Source organism: Homo sapiens, chromosome 14 (assembly GCF_000001405.40).
Source record: "Homo sapiens chromosome 14, GRCh38.p14 Primary Assembly".
NCBI classification, from domain to species: Eukaryota; Metazoa; Chordata; class Mammalia; order Primates; family Hominidae; genus Homo; species Homo sapiens.
The window spans coordinates 93,778,890-93,803,231 of NC_000014.9; the positions used below are offsets into that span (position 1 = coordinate 93,778,890).

Here is a 24,342-nt window from a genome sequence, read left to right on the forward strand (position 1 = left end):
TTAAAGATCTGGCCTTCGGAACTATCCAGGCCAAGTCACTCATCAAATGGAGATTGACTTTTATCTGATTAACTGATGGAGAAACATCCTTCTCCATCTTGCAGGAGCACGCTGTGGGAAAGGCGTTTTGCAGACTGCAGGGGAAAGTTGGGCCTTGGCTTCCCTCCTGCTTGGCCAGTGGAAAATTACCAAGGAGGCAGGGCTGCCCTCGGCCACACTCAGTGGATCTTCGTGGGCCTAGGAAAACACAAAGAGAAACCCGAAAATGGAGTGAGCCATTACTTACCTGGGGCGGAGAGGAGTCTGGGAGGTGGCGGGGGTGGGGGCGGCGGGGGCAGCGGGGGAGGGGGCCGGCACTGGCAGACGTGTCGGCAGCTGTCAGTCACTTTGGAGCAGGACTTCTGGGGCTCACCATGCGTCACCTGTACACATGGGCACACGTACCCAAGAGAGAGAGAAGACCATAAGGCAACTAGAAGCTGAAACAAGCCCAGGCCACCCCGTCCCCTGCCAGGCTGGGACTTGGGATTCCTTTCCAAGACCAAGGCAGGAAGAATCAACAGAAGTCGGATTGGTTCAAAGGGGACAATGTTGTTGGCGGTTGGCCTGGCTGGTTGGAGACCAAGGTTTTCTTCCTAGCTTTGCCAGGGACCCTGGGCAAGTGACCTGGATATGAATGAGAAGTAGACAAGAACTTGAAGGTTAACTGGTAGAATTTCCCCATTGTACAAACGAGTAAACTGAGGCCCAGGCAGAAGTAGCTGCCCAAGGGTCTCACATTTGGAGAGTGAGACCCTTTGCTTCCTTTGTAATCTAAGCCCAACCGCTTCTCCTGTCTTCCTTGCTACAGCCCAAGGCCAAGCCCTGGCCTTCTCTCCAGCCCTCGCTCCTGATGGCCTTGTCATGTCTACTCTGGGGCAAGGCCCCCCTCTCTTGGGTAGAAACCTCACCCAGAGAGGCCTCTACTCCTGTGTCCCACGTGACCAAAGGGAGCAGAGCAACCTGCTTGATGCTCTCCACTCAGCATCCAGGTGGTCTTGTGGGAAGGGCACCCCTCCAAACCACCTCCATCCCCCCAGAAAGACCCAGATGCCACCCCACCCCTCGTGGGATCATGTGGCCTACAAGGTCTGCAAGGGGCGATCCCTGACAACCTCTCCGGCCCCACCTCGTCCCATGCTCTCTCCCCATCTCTCTGCCCTCATTCTCTCCTTTCAGTTCCAGGCCCCCGGCCTCTGCAATTGCTGCTCCAGTGGTGGAAATGTTCTCCCATCCCTACCCTGCTACGCCCCTGACTCAGCTTGGCGATGACCTCACAGATGTGTCTCTGACCTCTTTATCCAGCCAGATCCTTTTGTATGGGCTCTCCTGGCACCAGGTTCCCCTCTAGGGGCAGAAAGCTACATTTGGATGTTACCTGGTTCATACCTATCTTCACCATGGCACTGTGAGCTCGCTGAGGGCAGAGCAGGCCTTGTTCCTTCTCTCTCACTATCATAAATCACCACTTAAGGGAATGCCCACCATTTGATAAATTTTTGGTGAATGAATGAATGAATATGAAAAACTGGGCCACAATCCACGCCTCTTGAACCTTGGCCTGGTGTTTTTCCAGCACCAATCTCAGCTTCCTCATGTGTCAACGAGAAGGGTAGCCCGAGTGAGCTGGGCTCCACCAGCAGTTCCCAGCCCTGGCTGTACCTTGGAATCTCCCTGGTGGTTTTAAAAAATACCCATGCCTGAGCCACACCGATTAAATCAAAATTTTGCAGGTGGAGCTGGGCCTGGGGATTTTGCTTATGCTTTCCAGGTTAAACTTCTTATGCAGAGCCAGCATGGGAACTGGGTAGATGGATTAGACTGACTGCCAGTGTCCCTCACTATACAGAGTGCCATAAATCCAAGAGTCTGGTGTTTCATGCCTGTCCCGGGGAACAAGCTGGTTTAAAAGCACAAAGAGTTGCCAGTCACCCTCCACCTCCTCGACAGCCACGGTTGATTTCTCTGTCATCTCTGAGCCACTGGAAACCAGAACTCCACTTTCCCTGCAACTAGCCATGTGTTGCCTGCCTTTGAATGCTGATCCAGCCCCTCTGTCACGTGGCAGGGAGAGCCCCCCGGGGCTGGGAGGCTCCCATCGCACCTGGAAGATGTGGAGAAGTAATGTGGGTAATGTCCGCTGGGGTGGCAGCGGGAAGTGAGCTGATTTACAGCCCCGGCTTAATATCTACCAGGCTAAGAGGCTCCTGCTCATCACCTTTTAATGTTTTTAAAAGGCCATTGACTGCGTTTCAAACCCTGGAAGGCAATCTTCTCTCCCACTGGGAAGAGCATGCCGTCTGATGGTGGCCTCTGCTCAATTATTTTACAGAAATGATTAACTCCTTACATGTCAGTGGGAAATCCACCGGCTTCTAGACCGGTGCCATTGTTAGACATCCCATCGTTGGGCCTGTGCCCCTCTAGATTCTGACCTTCTGAGACCCTGGGGTTTGCTAGAAAGCTTCATTCTCCTAATAGCTGGCCTCTGAGACCACTTCTCCAATGCACTCTACCAAGTGTGTGAACTTCAAGCAATACCATTGCCAGTGTAATTATTTTCTCAATCTCCAAGGTGCAATCTATGAGAGAGAGTTCAAGAGAAGCACGTTTGTTTAACCTGGCCCGACACAATGACCTATTTTTGTGAGAGGATATGAAGGCACAGATGTATAAGGGTGTTTAATGTGATGAAGCTCTAGGCAGAAAAATCAGGGCCAAATTTCAAGGCTGCAGGAGGAAGAAGTGAAGGAGCACACTGCATTTAAAAAACTGATAGTTCTCGCCTGTAATCCCAGCACTTTGGGAGGCCAAGGCGGGCGGATCACCTGAGGTCAGGAGTTCGAGACCAGCCTGGCCAACGTGATGAAACCCTGTCTCTACAAAAAAAAAATACAAAAATTAGCCAGGGTGGTGCACGCCTGTAGTCCCATCTACTCAGGATGCTGAGGCAGAGAATGACTTGAACCTGGAGGTCAAGGCTGCAGAGAGCCAAGATCATGCCACTGCACTCCAGCCTAGGCGACAGAGCAAAACTCCAGTCTCAAAAAAGAATAAGGCCGGGCGCAGTGGCTCACGCCTGTAATCCCAGCACTTTGGGAGGCCAAGGCAGGCGGATCACGAGGTCAGGAGATCGAGACCATCCTGGCTAACAGAGTGAAACCCTGTCTTTACTAAAAATACAGAAAAATTAGCCGGGCGTGGCGGTGGGCACCTGTAGTCCCAGCTACTCGGGAGGCTGAGGCAGGAGAATGGCGTGAACACGGGAGGCGGAGCTTGCAGTGAGCTGAGATCATGCTACCGCACTCCAGCCTGGGCGACAGAGCAAGACTCCGTCTCAAAAATAAATAAATAAATAAATAAATACATACATACATACATAAATACATAAATAAAATTGATAGCTTTGGCCAGGTGCGGAGGCTGACGCCGGTAATCCCAACACTTTGGGAGACTGAGGCGGGCGGATCATTTGAGCCCAGGGGTTCAACATCAGCCTGGGCAATAGAGTGAGACCTCATCTCTACAAATTTTTTTTTTTAATTAGCTGGGCATGGTGGCACATGCCTATAGACCCAGCTACTCCAGAGGCTGAGGTGGGAGGATTGCTTGAGCCCAGGAGGTTGAGGCTGCAGTGAGCTATTACAGTGCACCACACTCCAGCCTGGGCAACAGAGCGAGACCCTGCTTCAAAACAAAACAAAACAAAAAAATCAATGGTTCTCAGTCTCTTACATAAGGGCCTCTCTGAAATGTGAGCAGGCACAATTGCTTAGCCAACTGTTCTCACAAAAGGATCATGTCTGGTCCGTCCTTATGCCTGACGGCTGAGCCCCCACTGCAGTGTCCTGATAGTTTGGTCCAGTCCAAGCCTGTGGCGTCTGAGCCTGCCTCGACTCTGGGTTACTCAGACCCCATATCCACTTGCTAGCCTCTCTCCATCCTTCAAACCTATCTCTTGAACAGCCTTCTTGGGTGTTCATGCAAGAACAGGACTGAGATTTCTCTCTCTCCTTTTTTTGAGACAGGGTTTCGCTATGTTGACCAGACTGGTCTCAAATTTCTGGCTCAAGCAGTCCTCCTTCTTGGGCAAAACCATCCTAAACCCTCCCTCACCCCAAATTAGACTCACCTGCTCAATGCTGCTGCTTTATTCTGCAAACACTTCTGTCTGGGACATTTCCATGCTATTTTGCAATGTGTGTCTGTCTACACTAAGTTGTGAGTGTCTTAGGGCGGGCAGGTAGATGAGTACTTTATTAATCCTGAACAATCATGACTTTCTGAGCCCTACTATGTGTCCATCATGGGTTCAGGCTCCCACTTCGCCCTGGGCATAACCGGGAGAGATAGGTGATATTATCCACTCTTAACAGGTGGCTTGAAGGCTCAGCGAAGCTAAATGATGTACCACAGTTGCCCAAGGCCCAGCATTCAGTTGGCACAATGCCCACCAGTGGGGAAACACAGGATCTGTCCCATTCCCCAGTGCTGGTTCCACTTGGGGGTTCTGTTGATTGGCAGTGTTGTATTTAGACCAATAGAGAGGAAGCCTCGGGTGTCTGGAGCTTGTCCCAACACCTGGCGTTTGGTTTCTATCTTGGGGAATTTCAAAAGGAGAAGGAAGTTTCCCCTGAAGTAACATGCTCTTAGCTGGACTTCGTTAAGAAAGAGCAGAGGCCCAGAAAAGTCAGTGACTTGCCTAAAGCCCACAGAACGCAGGCTGGTTTCAGTACTTCCTGGGACCACTTCTTATTCCCATTTCACAATCGTCTGCCTTCCAGGCCCTATTCTGCAGCCAGAATCCTGTAAATGCTGTAGTCCTGAGAGTGGGCTGAGGCACAGGTATGTCCTGGAGTCCCCTGGATTTGGTACCTGTAGCAGAGGTCTGAGGGACACAGTGTTCCCAGCATCAGTTCCCTCTTCTCCAACCACCATCCTACTCCTGGCCAATCAGTGTCCTACCACCATCCTACTCCTGGCCAATCAGTGTCCTACCACCGTCCTACTCCTGGCCAATCAGTGCAGTTTTGGGTCCAGCAGACGTTGCCTCCTAAATCATTCTTGAATCCATCTATTCCTCTGTTTCCTTTGCCGCCACCTGAACCAGGCCACCATCAGGTCTCCAGTGGGCAGTACCTGCCTCTCATCTAGGATTGCCAGATAAAATATAAGACACCCTATTACATCTGAATTTCAGATAAACAACAAATAATTTTAAAGTATATCCCCAATATTATATGGGAAAGATGCTAGAAAAACAATTTGTAGTTCATTTGAAATTCAAAGTTAACTGAATGTCCTGTATTTTATTTGCTAAAGCTGGCCACCCTCCTCTTACCTACCTCTTTGCCCCTGCCTTACCTCCTCCCTGCATCCATCCTTCATGCAGGAATTGGACTGAGATGTCTCTCTTTTTTTTTGAGACATGGTTTTGCTGTGTTGTCCAGGCTGGTGTCGAATTCCTGGGCTCAAGCAATCCTCCTGCCTTGGCTTCCCGAAGTGTTGGGATTACAGGTGTGAGCCACTGCAACCAGCCTGGACTGAGATTTCTAAAATACCAACCTGAGATTGTGTCATCTGTTACTTAAAATCCTTTACTTAAAATGACATCCATAGCCCTCAGGATCAAGTCCAAACTGCAGGACACTATGTTAGTGGCTTACAACAGTGGCCTTACCTGGTGCTTCTTTCCCCTGGGTCTTCCAAAGTCCCTCTCTCCTCTGGCCTTGGGCTGTTCTGTCTGCCTGGACACCTCACCCTCATTTGCATCCTAACTTCTCATCCTTCATGTCTCAGCTGAAGCACCACACCATTGAGGCTTCTATGACTCTTGCCCCGGGTCCAAGCTGTTTGCTCTTGCTGAGCTCTCTTGATGATAATTACTTGTTTAATTAGCTCTACATTGCCAAACTATCAGTGCCACGAGGGAAGAGGCCACTAAGCCCCTTGCACTTAACAAAGGGCCTGGCATACAGTAGGCGCCCAATAAATGCTGCCGAATGAATCATCAAAGCTGCAGAGACTGACCATGGAAGGGGTTCAACATCACTTGGGTCTGGGGTGGCTCCTCATCAGCACACAGAGACCCATAAGGCCAGATAAGAGGCTGTCTCTCTAACTAGTACTTTAGGAGGGCAGCCACAAAGATGATGGCTTCTGGCATCTTTCATGGAGACAGGCCAGCACCACGGTAACTTGATGAGACATACTCCTGTCACACCTAATAAATTTGCCAGCCTGTCATCCTCTTCTCTTTCAAAAAAAAAAAAAAAAAAAGAATCATCTGGAAGTGAACTTAGAAGAACCCTAAATCACAAAAGCTCAAAATCTCAATTCCAGACACATTAAAGAACAGGGTGAAAGGCTAAGGAATGCTCCCACCAACTTTCTGGCAATTTAAATATCGTCTAACTTTAATGATTAAGTTTCTTATCAACTAGCAGCAGTCAGAGGCTTAAGGCTGATTGCAAGGTAAGAACCTGGTGCTTTGGGGGACCCCAGGTCTTTTGCCTCATCGACGATCCCATTAATCATAGGACTTTGTTATGTTGGCCTTGTCCTTCCAAATGTTCTTCTGGCAAAATGCTCATGGAAGGGCAGATAGCTCTGAGTTTGCTCTCCAGATTAGAGAAACTCCTATGACATGACAGATTTTATTTTCCCCACTTAAAGAGAAACACATGGCTTCGTGCATTTCCATTTTTCCTCTTCTCTCCTACGTTCCCTTGGATTTAGCTCTTTTGCTTAAAGCCAGATCCATTCATTCCAAAACCCCTTTCCCTTGATTTCCCTGTCCCTATCATTTGTAAATTAATTTTTCCAGAGCCTCAAGCCAAGATTTTACCCATTCTACTTGTCTGGAGGGTTCCTTTTTAAATTGATTTTTATGAAAATTGATTTGTATTGAGTGAGAGCATCTGAAATACACCCGCACACACACACACCCCTGCACACACACAGACACCCCTGCATACACACACACACACACCCCTGCTTGTGTAAGTACTGCCTGGCTGAAGGACACTTAAAAAACTGAACTGCTTTCACAAAATTATTTCTTCTGGGAGGAGTGCATGGTGCTTGGGGGTCTTCTGTTTAGATCCTACTAGCTTACACAGCAGAATTCTAGTCCTGGAGACTGACAACCTCACTACGTTGCTTCCCACCCCAGGTGAAGGTGTCTTATGGAAGAGAGAAAAGTGTAAACAAATGAATCTAAAAACGAAGTGAACTCAATATCTGAGGTTCAGCTAAAAGTTGAACAAGCGAAGCTGGTCCCAAGCCACTAAAGTGTTTAGAAGTGACAAAATCATGTTTCCTGAGGAGGCACAGCTGAGTTTAATAACTGCTGTTTCACACATTAGACAAAGCTGTCAATTCCAAAAGGAAAACAATTGTGAGACGGAGGCAAGCCAGAGAAGAGAGCAGAAGATGGGGCCTGGGAGTAGGGGGTGCTGAGCAGCGTCTGAACCTGGCTATCGATGGGCAGTCACCCAGGCCATCATCCAGGCAGGACTGACTGAGCAAGCTCTCGGCAGGGCCCCATCATTTGGGGCAGCTCATGGACCTCGGTAGACTGGCAAGTGGTCTTGCCCGCATCCCTTTTTTTCCTGGTCTGTCACCCCTACTAGTACAGAGCAACCATGTGAATTGTCCCCAAACCCCAAAATGCCATCAGGAGCACATGAGGCTACAAATACCCCAGAGTGGATCCTCAATGCCCAAAACAATGAAAATGTCCTCCAGAGCCTGCAGAAAAAATGTCAAACAGACCACGCAGTGATAAACAGAGTACCTGGTCAGCCAGGCAGAAGAACGGCATTGCTATTACTCCTATCAACAATGGCAGCAACCACTACTGGTTAATTTCATCATGGACCTGGCACTGCACTAAGTAATCCTTACATGCATTTATCTCATCAAGTACTTACAATAGTACAGTCAGGAAGAAGAAACTAACTCTCAGAGAGGGTAAGTGGGTTGCCTAAAGCCTCCCAGCTGGTGAGGGACAGAGCTGAAGCTCAAATTCCAGAGCTGACATCGAAGTCCACCTTGTCACCTCTCCACTGTACCAGTGACGATGCGCATTCTGGGGGGGACTAGGGACCACCCCATTGAAACCCCTCTCTGACCCTAAGAGGTAACTCCAGTTAGTGGCTGCCTGGCCTCTGCCCTGGGATTTAAGGGACCCAGGGTGAGAGATTCAACCCTGGGCAGTCCTGACAGATGGGCCACCATGCATTATCTGTCTACATCCTCAACTCTGATACCTATAAGAAACACGGCTGCCTTCCGTGTTGAAAACCAGTTTAAGAAAGCTAATTTGAAGTTCATCAGTGGTTCTGGTGAGAAAGAAATAATATATATCCTTGGGATCATTTTTCTTTGTAAGTTTGTTTCTTTGCTGAATTTCTGCCCTAGAATGTTATCATTGGAAGGTATTCTCTGAGCCCCTTTCCATTCCAAGGCCAGCCCGGTCCTGCAGGATTTAGGCCACAATCGAAGCCTCTCTTTGGAGTTTCTTATCTTTTCAGGGGTAGGGTATAGGGGACCGTAGCAGCTTTTCTTTTCCCAAGCTCTTCCGAGAACCAATCAGTGGGGTGGCTGCAAGAGGCCAGGGTCTCAGGAGGGAAGGGACAGCTCGCCCCTTACCCAGGAGGCCCTCCCAGCCAGTGCGCAGCCGGCGCGTCTCACCTGCACGAAGCCCCAGAGCGGGTGGAGCGCGCAGTGCAGCAGCAGCGAGGACCAGCAGCAGCCACGGCGCAGCACCAAGTCCCGGAGGAGCATCTCGGCCAGCGGCGCCCGCTCCTGGGGCGAACTGTCAGGAGAGCAAGGCTAGGGTCAGGCGGACACCGCGCAGGCACTTCCGCCGCCGCGCACCAATATACCTCCCAGCCCGGGTCGGACGGGCACGCCCCGCACCCAGGGGCACCCTAGTAAACCAAGCCTGCACTTACACTCCAGCTTACACCTTCACTGACTCTTCGTCAGTCCCAGAATTCACACTCTTCTTACGCACATCCCCAGAGCCCCGCGTGTACACTTTAGCTCCGCGCACAGCTCCAGAATACTGCGTGCATACCTTGGCCCCATGGACACCTCCAGAAACAGCCAAGCACACTTACTGCGCCCCATTAACCCCCATACAACTCACTCTCACTGTGAGCACACTTCAAACCCGGCGGGCACTACTCACCTGCGCGCACAACCACAGAAACAGCCGTGCACACACACTGATCCCCGTGCACACCCACCGACTCCTGCCTGCACCCTCGCTGACCCTGCATGCACGGCCCCAAGAAATCTCACGCTGCCTGCACCCACACTGCCCAGCCGGCCTCATTGCGCACACTGCAACATAGGCACCTCCGTGCGCTGCCCCTTTGCACGCCTCCGCCCAGCCCCGATCTCCCGCTCCCGGGCGTGGGTTCCCCCACGCCTCCATCTCCGCCCGCACCCTTCCAACGCCTCACGCTACCTTGCCTGGCGGCGGCCCCAGCCGACCCTGGGCTCGGGGAAAAGAGGTCCGCGTTCCCCCCGCGGCAGCTCTGTTTCCCAGCAGCCGGACAGCCCCCATTTAAAGCCAGCCGCCTCCCCAGTCCCCCGCCCTCTAGGCGGGGCCTCCGTCCTCACCTTGGCGGCTGCGCGGGCGCCCGGGGGCTTCACATGCCGGGGAGGAGCGCCCGGCGCTGGAGCAAAAGTTTGCGCGCCGGTTGGGCCTCCCGGGCCGCTGAGCAGAGGACCAGGAGCGGCGTCCTCGCACGGGGCGCAGGGCGCGGTGGCTCCGGACTGCGCCTAGCCGCGCGCGGGGCGGGAGGGGCGGCACCCCGCTCCCAGGGCCAGGGCTGGCCGCCGAGGCGGAGGCAGAGGGCGGGGAAAGTCTCCTCCACGCCGCCTGGAGCCGGCCGCGCGAGCCCTCCCCGGGCCCGCGTTGGCTCCCCGCCTTTCCTGGTGGCGCCGCGCGGCTGCCCGGGGCACTGGGGTGCCCGAGCTCTCTACTACCCTCACGCTGGCCCGCGAGAGGCAGCGGCGGGAGGCGCCGGCAGGGAGCTCCCGCTGGGGCAGCAAAGCCGTGGGTGGAGGCGAAATAAATAATCCACGAAAAAGGAAAACAGACGTGAGCCGAGCCAGAGCCTCTCCCGCCTCCCGCCCGGGGTTGCGCTCCCCCCGCCGCCGCCGCCAGCGCCGCTGCAGTGATTCCTCGTCTCCATCTAGCGAGGCTATTGTGTATTGGGCGCTTAATTATTTATTCACCCTGGAGGCCGAGGATTCCCACTTCCATGGGGTTTTGGCCCTTGCCTGCGCTTCCCCCAAGCCTCTCCCGAGGCTGCGGAAAGGTGGCGAGGACTGACTTGAGACCCTTTTTTGCGCTCCATCCTTGAGGACTCTCCCCGCCGCACTCCCCGCAGGCTCTCCCGGGCGCCGGGGCTGAAAGGTGCAGGCCGCCCCTCTCCCGGCCATGGGCCTTGTCCTCTCCTTTGTAGTCCCAGCAGCAGAAACTCTCTTGCAACACTAGGCTGCGGCTGGGAAGGAGTTGTGACGGCCCTGGGGAGAACATTTCTACCACTGCTCTTCCTCAACCATCTGCAAACTCCTCTGTTTGAGGCAAGATTATCAACAAGTCGGTTCTTCGGGAGGTAGCCTGGTTGCATCTCTTTCAGACAAGCTGTGCCTAGCAGCATCACAGGCATGGCGCGGCCTCTCTGCTCTTGTGGTGGAAGCACTTTGCAAGCGCTTTGACTGATGGGGGCGCCTTCCAGAAGGCCCTCAAGGCCTGGACAATCCTATTTTTAGGTTGGATGAGAGAACCAGGGGCTTAAGACACAGAGCTGAGGGTCAGATACTACAGTGCATGCATGGAAGAAACATTTACTGAGCACCTTTTCCCGGTATTTGGACACCCTTAAGCCACTCATGTAAACACACACTATAAACGCTGGTTTGCAGAGTATAAACTACCTTGCAAGCCAGCTTTCAGAACAACGTCTTAGCGGCCTCCTTCATGCCAGAGCGCCGCCCCGAGGCTGCAGATTGCACCTCAACCAGCAAGATGCAGGGACAAATGTGAATGAGACCTTGTTCCTTCCCCCCTAAGAATTCAGGGGCCTGTCAGGGAGATGGATAAAACCAACCATTCCACTGTGCACTGGCATGTCACACACAGCTGCCCCGAGAAAGGGGAAGACAGGAATGGAGGGCGGGTTGAGTAAAGGCTCCCAGGAGAGGGTGACTTCCTGGGAGTAGGGGAACATCTCAAGCATTGGTAACTCTTTGTGCAAAGAAATGGAGACATTTATTCAATCCTTCATTCCTTCATTCCATATGTAGCCTCCATGGGCACCTGCTGGGGGCCAGACAGAACTCTGGATGCTGGGTAGAAAAGGGAACAAGAGGATATCTCACTGGGGGTGGGATAGGATGGAGGGAGGATGGCAAGAAGATGAAGGGGTAGGGACTTCCTAGGTGACTCATCTACAGTTTGGAGAAATGGAGCAGCTATTGGTCAGCTGAGGTCAAAATAACACTGGATATTTTAATGCCTGTCCGGCTAAAACAAGTCGTGGTATTTTGCTCAGCACAATCTTTACATTTGACAACAGCTCCTGATGTTTACACATGGAGCTCATTGCCACTTACAAATGTTATTTACACCGCATTTTAATTCAGGTCTCACAACTCTTTGATGTAAGTGTAATTGCCCTGTGTGAACAGTTCAGAGACCTTTGTGCCTGAGCCAGAATCACACAGCGGCTCACTGGGGGTTCAGAAATACTAACCCCCAACTAGAGGCTCACGACGTTGGGAGAACTTAGGTAAGTTTTGTGCATTGGAAAACCTGCATTGTCTAATCTGGTCTTCAATATTGCTGTAGTGGACCTAATCTATGCACCTCTCGAGGGTCACCTGGTGTAGATTGCCCGATTCTGTCACTGTTCAGTGTGCCACTTGTAGCCTGCACGGACCTAGGGGGACTGAACAAAGCGGGGCGAACGTGGGAATAAAAGACAAGAGATAAAAGAGTGTATTTGGAAGAAGGGGTCAGGGGGCGCCTTGCCTCTACTGGACAAGGGCCCTGAGTTTTACACAGCTCTCCATATTTATTAGGCAAAAGAGATAGTGAGAAAGGGGAGGGGGTGTGATTGTCCAGTAATTGTCAATTGGTTCACAGCAGGCTTGTGAGGCTGCATCCTTTGAACAATAGGTGCTAGATTTCCCAATAGATAACTTCGAGGAGCCCGGCACCAAGGAGTGATGTCCCTCAGCAAACCTTTTGGTGGCAGGGCCTTGTGAGTTTGCCCTCATCCTGCATTCATGATAAACAGTTTGCTGTTTGATCATATAGCCTCCAGCAGAATGATGAGTTGGTTACGTCCCATGGGCCTTCAGCTCCCTGCAACCTGGCCCCACATCCTGCTGACGCCCCTGTGACCTCCCTTAGGGTGAAGACCAGGCTCTGTCACAGGCCTCTTATGCCATGAGCGGCCTAGAGAGAACATGGCTCTTCTCACCCTTTTCAATCAGTTGGTAACCCACACCACGGCCACATGAGGTCTGCCTACAGGGGCCAGATACATCTACTCAGAAATACAGGGGAGTTAAAGCTTGGGACACATTTTGACCAGTGAAGGACAAGAGGTGGAAGGGACCCAGCATATGGAGTGCAGTGGTTCCATTTGGCCTGTCGGCAGATGTCCAGCAGGTGCAACTGAGCAACTGGCTGTTTTTACTTCTGAGGATATGACCAGCTCAATAATGTACAACCTGGTGGCACACATCTATAGTCCTAGCTACTTGGGAGACTGAGGCAGGAGGATCCCTTGAGCCCAGGAGTTCAAGAACAGCCTGGGCAACATCACAAGACCCTATCTCACAAAAATGCACAACTTTCTATTAGCTTCCCTCCTGCCCTGCTTCACTTTTTGCCTTGTGTCTGTTGCCCTAGGATTTTATCCCTCAATAAAGTATTAGCAAGCAGCATTATTGCTTAATACTCTGTCTCCTAAGGAACAGGGACAGTTGTTCCTGTTCTGGAGGACAGCAACTGTGGTAGCAACTGAATGGAGGGACAGTTGCTACCACAAATTGTCCTAAAAAGTAGACCTTTAGGATGGAATGTTGGATTTGTCTTCTATCTACAATAGGGTCTCCACTGCTGGGCCATAGCTGGCATACAGTGATATTACAATTTCTAAAACTTCACCTGTGGCTAATTGGAATGAGATGCAGGTAGAAAATAAGGCTTTATGAGATCAAATGGCCATTGCATTTGGGGTTAAGTGGCTTTTTCTGATGGTATTGGAGGTATTGCAAGGAGAAAATGATAGACTCAGGGAAGCTATCTACCAGCGTAAGGCATGCTTTGTAATGAAAACTTTAAGGACGCTCCTGACATCTACAAGACATATTGCACTGAAAATTAAGCTTGGGGGCTCATTATAAGGGTGGCAGAGCTGAAAAGGAGACTAAATGTGCAGCCACATAGATGTCTTATGTCCAAGTCAGAGCTCTAATAAAGAAAGGATTGGAGCTGGTGACCTGGAATGGAAACTTTCGGGTAAACAAACCTGAAAATCTGGACCCCAATCTCCTTGAATCCTCTGAAAGGTAGAAGCAAGAAGAACAGAACAGCTCTTCTTGGCCTGGGGATGACAATGACCTCATTGAAGCAGGAAACTTGCAAGATAGTACTTGCTTTAATGACAACAGCCTACAGTAAATACGCGAGATGCCAGAACATTTTTTTGGCACAATAAGAAGAAAAGGACCAGAAGGCTCAGAGGTGTGAATATTAGACTCATAAGACCTGAGAATCCACCACTGGCCTATGTTCCCTGGGATGGCCCAGAGAATCTTCCCTTCATTGAAACAGAAAAAAGAAGTCCTAATGAGCCCATCAGCACCTTTGAGAAATTCAGTGGTGGCTGTCTTCTGAAGCCTGGGTTCAATGATGGGAGATGGTGGGGAAATGGACTCTCTTGGATCAGTGGCAATCAATGGAATGGCAAAGGCCAGGTGGCATAATGTCATGCCGGACAAAGTGGGCATAATTACCATAATGGGCAGCAAGGCCAGAGTGGCAACCAGGGTGCCTGGAGCCATAGGAATCTATGTTTTTTGTGTTTTTTTTTTTCTTTAGAGATGGAGTCTCGCTCTTTCGCCCAGGCGGGACTGCAGTGGTGCTATCTTGGCTCACTGCAAGCTCCGCTTCCCGGGTTCACGCCATTCTCCTGCCTCAGCCTCTCGAGTAGCTGGGATTACAGGTGCCCACCACCGCGCCCGGCTAATTTTTTGTATTTTTAGTACAGACGGGGTTTCACCGTGTTAACCAAGATGGTCTCAATCTCCTGACCTCGTGATCCGCCTACCTCGGCCTCCCAAAGTGCTGGGATTACCACCGCACCCAGCCAGGAATCTATGTTAATGACTGACAGATCATGATGTAATTGGGGGGGCGGGGAGAGAAATGGGGAGCTAACAGGGGTGTTGCTTGACTTGTATAAATATATAAACTTTTAAAATAAAGAGTGTAAGAGCAGAAAGATGACACCTACTGCAATGGAAATTATCTAAGGTTGTTCATAGTCCAGAGCCTATGATTAAAGGGGAGGCTGGATTTCTGAGGCATTAGGTCGGCCATGGACAGTGGCAACCCAGCATGTGATAGAAGTGGTATGTATAGGACGAGGCTCGAGCAGGTCTAGAAGGAACAGGAAAATTGCCTAAACAGCTGGTCCAGATTCTCATGTCACCCACCTCTGTTGAAGCTCTTCCTCAATATATATGTTTAGCCCCAAATGGGAGTTCCATATGATAGTCTGATGGAGGAGGAAAGCACCAGGGCCTCTTTTACACCCAGGTCAACGTGGTGTATTGGTGCTAGTTGGGAATAGATGACTGCTGTGTTACCTCCCATTCAAGGGTAGGAGAGGTGGCCCAAAGTGCAGACATACACTCTCCTGTGCGGGGTAAACGACTGGGCTAATCATTTAGGGACATGGAAAGAACAAAAATGAAAAGCCAGGGGCATGGAGGTCAAGTAAACAGTAAATGATGAATTCATGGGAGTGAGCACAAAGAGTATGGGGCTTTCTGCCTCGTGCTTGTCTCTCCAGAGAGCATCTGTTGCCAAGGAGGCTCCTACAGTCAGCCGGACGGGATGACCCAGCCCCTCTTTGGCCATCCTAGGGCTTCCCTGAGTGATGAGATGGTCTACTGAAGGCTCAGCTGTGACATCAGCTTAGAGACAAGAGCTGGTGGGGTTGGGGCACTGCTCTCCTGGATATAGTGTGAGTCAATAGATGTGTTTCTGATAGTTAGAATATACAAATCTAGGAACCAAGGAGTGGAAGTAGGATTGGCTCCTCTGTCCGACTGCCAGCAAGAAACCTGCAGAATCTGTGCTTCTTGTTCCTGCAAACTTAGACTTAGAAGAGTCAGAGGCCCTGGCTTATAGAGAGTAAAACTTCCACTAGTGAACACAGTAAGGGTTCTACTAAACTGGAAGCTGTGACTGTGACCTGGGTGCCTTGTGCTCCTCTTGCCAGCGGAGCAGCAGAGAAAGGAGGATTTGCTATACTGATGCACGATAGTACTTCATTACCATGAGGAGCAAGGGCTGGTGTTACATAGTGGATGCAGGGAAGAGTATGTCTTGTGCTCTGGATTGAAGTGTTTCCCCCAAAATGCATCATTGAAGTCCTACCCCCAACGTTAGGGGTTATTTAGAGATATTAGATATGTTTAGAGAGGGAGTCTTTAGGGGGTATTAAGGTTAAATGAGGTCATAAGCATGGTGCCCTATCCACTAGGATTGTTGTCCCTCTAAGAAGAGGAAGAGAGACCAGAGCTCTCTCCCTCTCTCTGGGTACCCAGAGGAAAAGCCATGTGAGGACAAAGCGGCTGTCCACAAGCCAGCAGGAGAATCCTTACCAGAAACTGGCCCTGCTGAACCTTGATCTAGAACGCTCAGCCTCCAGAACTGTGAGAAAATTGATTTCTGTTGGTTAAGCCACCCAGCTTGGGGTGTTTTGTTACAGCAGCCTGAGCTGACAAATACATCTGGTCGTCTGGGATTTGTGGGAGATTCTCTGCTCAGAGATAGCCGTGAACAAGCAATTACAACATCCGAAGACCCTCCAGGTGAGAACCTCAGACCCACTGAAGAGCTGGCCCTAGAAATCTAGAATGGGGCTGGGCATGGTGGCTCACACCTGTAATCCCAGCACTTTGGGAGGCCAAGGTGGGTGGATCACCTGAGGACAGGAGTTCGAGACCAGCCTGACCAACATGGAGAAACACTGTCTCTACTAAAAATACAAAATTAGCCGGGCGTGGTGGCACATGCCTGTAATCCCAGCTACTTGGGAGGATGAGGCAGTAGAATTGCTTGAACCCAGGAAGCGGAGGTTGCAGTGAGCCAAGATCATGCCATTGCCCTCCACCCTGGGCAACAAGAGCAAAACTCCGTCTCAAAAAAAAAAAAAAAAAAAGAAAAGAAAAGAAAAGAAAAAAAAAAGAAAGAAAGGAAGGTCAGAGTGGATAGAAGATGATGAGTGTCAATTATGGCCCTAGGACCAGCCACAGCAGTGGGACTCTAGCTTCCTTTGCTAATCTTTTTATGCCGTTTTAGGAAGTTGCAATTGATCACTTCAAAAATTGGACTTGCACCTTCACTCTCAAACTGATGGCATTTTGTTCTCAAGTTAGATCCAAATATCACAGGAGAATGGGGTGGGGGACTGTGAAAAGCACAAGGAGTGGACTGTACTGGGCCCCATCCATACATTTCCTGGGTTTACTTGGCCTTACCTGCTTCCCCTTCTGCTCAATGGAGAGGGCAGCCAGTGCCACCACTGTCCCATCTCCTAACGCCACTGTCTTTTGCAGCCTCCCCCAGGTAAGAGCTGAGCTTCAGCCCGGCCTCCATCATGTACACCATGAAAGGGGCCATGGCAGCAGCGGGGGCCAGGCCCAGATGACTGGAGTCATGGAGAACCTGCAGAATCTGTGCTTATCCCTGCAACCTCAGATTTAGAACAGTCAGAGGTCCTGGCTTGTAGACAGTACAACTCCCACTAATGAACACAGTAAGGATTCCACTCTACTGGAAGCTATGACTCTGACCCGAGCATCACAGAATCCTGACCTAGGACCTACCACCAACTGTATACTCAGAGGATTGAGTATACTCCCCACACCATGGGGAGGGGGTCTGGCTTGCCCAGTAGTTGTCAGTGGGGAGCAAGGACCATGACCTGAAAGTGGAGGAGGGTGTTAACTTCCTGTGGGATGAACTTTGATCAATGACAGGATCTGAAAAGATCTGGTGGATTATTTATCTCCCTTTCTCCATCCATATGGCTTACTGACATATGTCTTGTGTGACCGAACAACTGGCTGTGTTCCCTGGCAAAACTGTGGCCACTTCAGCACCGCACATGATGTGCTTTCCTTCCTTCCCTGCCTTCTTTCCTAATTTCCCCTGCTCTTTCTAACCTGGGATTGCACCCCTAAAATGTGCTGCTACATGAGCTTTGCTTCAGGCCCCCTTTTCTAGGGAACCCAGGCTTAGACAGGTTCTTAGAGGTTTCCTGGGCTCCAGAGGCTATGACCACATGCATCAGATGAAGTGGAACACCATGGCAACCAGGATATTTTATGCCCGAAACATCTGTATAACTGTGGATAATTGAAAGGGGAAGCTCCTTAAGAATCCAGATGGTTTTCCTTGGCCTCCACTTTTCCGTGAATACAGGTGGGTTCTAGGTGGGGAGAGTTTCATGCTGGTCGGGAGCATGGACTCTTGAGTCATAGTGCTTGGTTCTCACTAACTACACAATCTTCGGGGAATTTCCTAAACTTTGAGGCCTGACTCTTTTCCCCTTTCTATTAGGGATTAGAATAGTATTTATTAGATATAATTAGATCACAGAGTTCCTGGAAGGATTAGCTGAGATATTTCATATAAACACTTAGCCTGGCACAATATAACTGCTCACAGAAAAAAAAAAAGTCTATCTCTAAATATTTTGAAGGATAGAGGGGCAAAGATGCCTCTCTTTTACATGAGTACTAATTGGCTTCAAGGATCTTGATGAGCAAAACACAAAGAAAGTGACTAGTAAAGGAACACTTATTATTAAACCTTAAAGTTATGAAGGCTGATTTTTTTAAATGCTGCAAATAAACAGAGTTATTTTAAAAGACATTGGTATTATCCAATTTGTTCATTTCCTGAACTTGAATTAAAGTTACTTGTCAGTGCGCGTTTTGTAGGTCAGCTGTGAATCTGTCCAGACAGGATATCTTCCTTATTGACCAGGTGTGGGGGAGGGGGAACCCCAAGTCTCTTCTAGGATTCATCCAAGACGTCACTTGTCCTTCTGAGGTTTGTCCCTCACCTCCGTCAGTATTCTAAGAGCTGAGCAGGATTCATTACCTGGGGTTGTGTGGACAGATCTGCCTTGCCCCAAACTGTGAGTTAGTTCTTTCCCCAAGAATACTTTGGTCCAAATCTCTGAAGCTAGATATTTGGACAGGGAGGTGGGGGGCAGGGGAGTCAGAAAGAAGCCCAGATTTTTAACTTCCCTTTAAAACCATCCGTGTCTCCTCTGTCTTGCCATCCTTCCCGAAACCCTAAAAAAAGGACCAACATTTTGAAAAAACTTATCAAGTCTGGGCTTGCTTCGTGGCCACAGCCTGGTCGTTGCCATTTTCCTACGTCAAAAGAGAATCCAGATAGATCCGATCCAAGAGAGCATTTGGTGGAACTGCTTGGCTAGCCTCTCCTTTGGTCAGAACAGTCAAGTCCAAATGCCAGCCCAGCCGGGAGAGCCAGCTCCGTCTCCTCGATTCCGCCGAGCACCAACACACGCTGGGTCACGCAGAAGCTGTGGGAGGAAGGAGATGGGTCCAGCTCCCCAAGACCTCACCTTCTAATGGAGGAAGGAGAAACAGACCTAACCCAGAAAATGCCAATAGGGCCATTTCTCTTTCTTGGTGAAACCTCCCAGAAGTCCCAGCCTGGGCAACATGGCGAGACCCCGTCTCTACAAAAAATAAAAATAAAAAAATTAGCCAGGTGCAGTGATGTGTGCTTGGGAGGCAAAGGCAGGAGGATAGCTTGAGCCTGGGAGTTCAAGGCTGCAGTGAGCTACAGTCATGCCTGTACTCCAGCCTGGGTGACAGAATGAGACCCTGTTTCAAAAAAATTAAATTTAATTAAAAAAAAATCTTCCTGGACGACTCCCTAACACAGCACAGGAGCACCCAACCCTGGCACTCCAACCATTGCCCCGTCTACCTTGACCTGCAGTTCCCCGCTGGCACCCTACTGTTTCCCACCTCCCTGCCCTTGCTCCCCTCCCTAGATCCCCTTCCCCTCTTGTCATCTTGGCTAATTGCCACACAGCCATCCCAGACTCCCTTCTCTGGATCCTCCCCACCCCTCCATCATGGCACCTTATCACACTAGACTCTGTTATGACACCATAACATATTGTTGGCAGGGAGGTGGCAGGCTGTGGTGTTAGTAGAAAGAACTCTGATTTAGATGTCACTTGAATCTGGGTCCAATCTGGGACGTTCCCTTAACCTCTCTGAGACTCAGTGTCCTTGACTGTAAAATGAGGAGGCTGATATGTGCCTTGCTGGGCTGTAGTGGGAAGTATTAGAAGTATGTCAAACTTTGAGCCCAGCAGGTTGGGGGAAATCACGTCCACTTTATCTAATTGCACTTCTGTCTCCTTTCCTAACTGTGAGAGCACTGGGGTAGGGGCTTTTTAAATTTCTCTTTGAGTTCAGACATCTGGCAGCACCCAACGTGTAATAGGAGCTCCGTAAAGAATTGTGAGCAACTGCTGAAGTGTTATTAAATGAATAAGGCCAGTGCTACCGGACCTCTAGGGAAGGGTCCCCCTCACCTCTCCAACCCCACCTGCTCCATATCTGCTATTACTCCTCCTCTAGACTCCTTGCTATTTCTGAAACCCTCAAGCCTGAGTCTGCCTTGGGACCTCAGCCTGGGTGTTCCCTCCTCCTTGAATGCTTTTCCCCACAGATCAGCAGGGCCCTCTCCCTCCCTCTTTCAAGACTTGGCTCACAGGTCACTTTTTCAACAAGATCCACCCTGACCATTCTATTTAAAATCTCAGCCCCCACCACTGGCCCCATTCTCCTTACTTTATTTTATTTTTCTCTCTAGTACTTATTGCTTCCCAATTACATACTTAATTTTACTCATTTCCTTTGGTTATTATGAGTCTGCCCTCACTAGAATGTAAGCTCCATGAGGGCAGGGGCTTCAGGCCCCTTTGTTCATTGCCTGCAGAGGACGCTTTGCATTCCATGGCATATGCCCTCCCCCCACCTCGGTTTTGGTGGCAGCCATGATGGGCAGTTCCTCTGGAGTCCCCCACCCTAACCTCCTGCCGTGCCTTCTCTGCTCTTCTGCCTGAGAGCTGAGGAAACCCGCTTAGCAGGCGAAAGCAGAAATGTAGGAGGCGACACCTCCAGAGTAGTCTGAACAATAGGGCAGTATTGAGGGGCAGTTCTACGCCTCACTCTACACAGTGATTTGGGGGTCCCCCAAAGGGGACTGAGGTCCCATCACCCACAGCAGTAACTGGCTCCTTAACGCAAACTGACCTGGCCTCCCCTGCCCTGGCTTCTTCTCCCTTCTTCCTGCTTCTGGGCTCACCTCCCAAACAAATCACCTACACCAAAGTCCTTGTCTCATGCTCTGCTATTGGGAGAACCCAAACAAAAAGGCCAACCACCATACTCCAGGAGCCTAGGGCAGCGCCTGACCTACGGTGACCGCCTGGTACATATTTGTTGAAGGAATGAATGGAAATAGGGTAATTTACAAAGTTCTACATTTTGTGTCTTGCCTTGTGATTACATGTTTGAGTGGCTTTTTCATCACAGGGAGACCTTGCTGAACTCTGTGTCTTTTTGTTTACAATAGGATTTTCACGGAATGGCCTCTGCCTGGAAACCTGTCTGGCTCTGAGCTTTGTAGATATTTCAGGGAATGAGGGTTTTGCCATTTACTTTAGTCAGAAATGTCAGAAGCTTCCAGGAGCTTGAAGATCTGCTGCTCACACCAGCACTGAGCAGCCCAGCACACAGATTTTCTTTGTAACTTTTCCAGGAGCACGCCTTTCTCAGCGCCTGATGTAGAAGGATTCACTTAGCCGGACAGTCCCTGATTTATGGTTGCAATAACTTTGCTTATTTAGGCACTCAACAAACATGGAGAGAATGCAGATTCTGTGCCAGGCTGTGGGTACTGGGGATCAGAATTGCCTGAAACAGGGGCCCTGCCCATTCTTCACTAGCTCCAGTCCAGTGGGGAAGACAGAGAAGGAAAGAGCTGCTTATAATATGTATGGTGTGGGACAGAAGTGAGCACAGGCAGCAAGCACACCGGAAGAGCCCGATGCTTTCAGTGTCCTGGTGCGATTGTACTTCCTGCTTGAAGTTGACCAAACTTCAAGCAGGAGTAGGGAGGCTGATGTTGACCAAAGTTCAGCAGGAGTAGGGAGGCTGATGATTTAACACATTTTGCAGTTGTCACCTCCTGCCTTTGCATGTGCAGTTTCCTCTGTCTGGAAGACTTTGCCATCTGCCTTCTTGGCAAAGTCCTAGTCATCCTTCAAATCCAGCTCACATCACTCTGCCCAGGAAGCACCCCCTCCCCTAGCCCAACCCCACACCAAGCCAACCCCATCTCCTCTGCTCTGTGAGCAGTCTGTGTCTAGGCACTCGTACAGCTGCCTTTTTCAGCCTCCTGTGTGATTATGAAATCAGTGAGGAATTGGGAGGCTGATGATCTAAGAGAAAAATATGTTGACTCTGGCGTCAAACAGAGCTGGGTCTGAGTTACTCCTAGTACTGTTATTTCCTGGCTGTGTTCTTGGACACACCTGGAGGACAGAGCAGGAACATACAAGAGATGAGGCTGCAGGAGGGGAAGACTCCACCATAGTGGGCCTTGTGAGCCATCCTCAGAAGACATTTGGAATGATTCTGGGGGCAGAGGAGAGGCACCGAGCAGGTTGAAGCAAGAGAGTGGCATTGAGTATTTGTGTAAAGACCATGCTCGCAGTGTTGGGGAGGAGGGGTAGGGTGAAGCGGGTGTGATAGATAGAAGGCAGATGCGCTGAGTGCTGGCTGAGAGACTGGACTTGGAGTCACATGGTCTAGGTTTGAATGACAGCTTCTGTCTAGGCATATGATCTTGGGCAATCCACTTAAATCCCCTGGACCTCAGTTTCTCCATTTGTAAGATGGGAATAATAATGTTACTTGCTTTGCCTAGGAAGATCACAAGAGAACATAAATAGGAATGGGTTTTGTAAACTTTAAAATACCATGTAAATACCAGACATGATCCATAATGCCTAGAGGCTTAAACATGGTAGAAGTTTATTTCTCTCTCCGGTAAAAGGAAGTCTGGGGCTGGTGGGGTGCTTCATAGAACAGGGGTCAGGCTTTTTCTAGCTTGTCGATCTGCCATCCTCACCACATAGGGGTCTTTATACCTCATGGTCCAACATAGCTGCTCAAACTCCAGCCATCATATCCTCATGCCAGCTGGCAGAAAAAAGGAACAGAGAAAGGAAGGTCGATTCCTTCCTTTAAGAGCACTTTCTGCAAGTCTGAAATGACACTTTTGCTCACATCCTATTGGCCTGTGCACAGTTACACGACGACACCAAGCTACAAGGGAGGCTGTGAAACACATTTCCTATTCAGGGCAACCATGTGTCCAGCTTAAAATCAGAGGTCCCATTCCTAATGAATTACAGAGATGGATGCTGGGGACAACCAGACACCTAGCAATTTCTGTTGCATCTTTTAATGATTTGCACTGTGGAGCTTCAGTCATACTCCAAACAGAGACACTTGCCTCCTTACGGGGAGTTTTAAAAGGCCCATCCTGTTGACAAAATCATGATGAGCAAAGACAGAGAGCAGCCTAGTGGAGCTTAGGTCAAAGAGGCAGGGGGCTGAGGGCCCCACAGCAGCAGCTGGCCATGGTGGATCACTGGGAGAGAAGCAAAGGCTTTATACCAGCCTTCTGATGAGGACACTGAGCTCTGAGAGACAGGGGAAGAAACCCCTAATCAAGAAGCAGCCATCCCATGCAGACGGTGTGGGACCAGAAGACTCAGGACACACAAGGATGTCTCCCTGGAAGACCAGAGCCTTTCTCTCAGCCTCTCTGCAGATCCTTTGTGGATGGAACAGAAGGCTGGGACCAGACACCCCTAGACCTCCCCTGAACCCATGGTCCGTACCTGAGCATAGAGAATGTTTTTAAAGAGCCCCAGAGTAAATAATTCCATCTATGTATGTTTATTTCCAGGTTCTTAGAATGCATAGGTCCTACCAGGAGATAGAATTAAGATGCTGATACCTAGAGTAAGTAAATCAGCTGATCATAATGACTAATATTTATTGGCTGTTTACTAAGCGCCACGCTCTGTTCTAAAGATATAACACTATTAACTCCTTAAATCTTCATGGCAACCTTAGAAGGAAACTGTGATGATTGCCACCATTTTATAGATGAGGAAACAGGCCAAGGGAGGTGAGGCGGCGTGGCAGGCCCCGTGTTTGCCCCCTTGCTGCATCCACCCTTTGCCATGTGACTTGGCACTGCCCCTTCCTGTGCCTCGATTCTGGGCCCCTGGGCCCTGTGTTGGACCAATGGCATGTTGGTAGGTGTGATGCACACAGAGCTGGAGAGTGCTTGGGAGCTGGGTTTGCTTGTTTTTGCTTCTCTGTTCACGGCCATGTGAAGAATGTGCCCCAGCCAGCCTGCCAGAGGTGAAAGACACATAGAACGGGGTCGAGTTGCTCAGGTCATCCCAGCTGAGGCCACCCTAGCTCGGCCATGCACCAGCAGAACCTCAGACCTGTGGGCGAACCCAGCCAAGATCAGCAAAGCTGCTGAACCCACCCGCAACACCCTGCAGGTGCATGAGCAAGCACACCTGGACCAACAGAGCCTGCCTAGACCAAAGGGATCCCACCGACTTGTGAGCTAAGTAAATACGTCTCTTCATACACCACTGCAGTTTTGCAGCATGGTTGAAGCAGTAGATCACAGATGCAAGAGATGACATAACCTTCCAGCTAATCGTTGGTGTTCCATGATCTCAACCCAGGCAGTCTGACTGCAGAACCCACACTGTTAGACACTATTCTATGTTAGGAGTTGGCGACCTATGACCTGCAGGCCAAATCTAGCTTACCACCAGTTTTTATAGCCCATATCTAAGAAGGGTT

The 24,342-nt window shown here is 50.1% G+C and overlaps 1 protein-coding gene across 3 annotated transcripts in view, besides 4 other annotated features; it reads right to left on the reverse strand.

Annotated features, from left to right (window-relative positions):
* PRIMA1 (proline rich membrane anchor 1) overlaps positions 1–10,105 on the reverse strand; it is a 70,697-nt gene extending 60,592 nt beyond the window's left edge. For 2 of the 3 annotated variants that reach the window (XM_011536456.3, XM_047430966.1), the window contains exons 1-3: positions 9,676–10,105; positions 8,737–8,860; positions 287–422 (exon numbers count right to left, since the gene is read on the reverse strand). In XM_011536456.3, the coding sequence (XP_011534758.1) occupies positions 287–422; positions 8,737–8,829 (229 nt within the window). In that variant the 5' untranslated portion in view covers positions 8,830–8,860; positions 9,676–10,105. Of the gene's footprint in view, positions 1–286; positions 423–8,736; positions 8,861–9,520; positions 9,597–9,675 lie in introns of those variants that run through there. The other variant, NM_178013.4, reaches the window with a different exon arrangement.
* Positions 558–1,059: an enhancer, noted in NCBI's record as "H3K4me1 hESC enhancer chr14:94245793-94246294 (GRCh37/hg19 assembly coordinates)". NCBI's record gives its function as "activates a minimal SCP1, AML or CMV promoter by ChIP-STARR-seq in naive and primed H9 embryonic stem cells {active_cell/tissue: H9 hESC(naive and primed)}" and the evidence as "EXISTENCE:reporter gene assay evidence [ECO:0000049][PMID:30033119]".
* Positions 8,962–9,673: an enhancer, noted in NCBI's record as "H3K27ac-H3K4me1 hESC enhancer chr14:94254197-94254908 (GRCh37/hg19 assembly coordinates)". NCBI's record gives its function as "activates a minimal SCP1, AML or CMV promoter by ChIP-STARR-seq in naive H9 embryonic stem cells {active_cell/tissue: H9 hESC(naive)}" and the evidence as "EXISTENCE:reporter gene assay evidence [ECO:0000049][PMID:30033119]".
* Positions 9,674–10,387: an enhancer, noted in NCBI's record as "H3K27ac-H3K4me1 hESC enhancer chr14:94254909-94255622 (GRCh37/hg19 assembly coordinates)". NCBI's record gives its function as "activates a minimal SCP1, AML or CMV promoter by ChIP-STARR-seq in naive H9 embryonic stem cells {active_cell/tissue: H9 hESC(naive)}" and the evidence as "EXISTENCE:reporter gene assay evidence [ECO:0000049][PMID:30033119]".
* Positions 10,388–11,099: an enhancer, noted in NCBI's record as "H3K27ac-H3K4me1 hESC enhancer chr14:94255623-94256334 (GRCh37/hg19 assembly coordinates)". NCBI's record gives its function as "activates a minimal SCP1, AML or CMV promoter by ChIP-STARR-seq in naive H9 embryonic stem cells {active_cell/tissue: H9 hESC(naive)}" and the evidence as "EXISTENCE:reporter gene assay evidence [ECO:0000049][PMID:30033119]".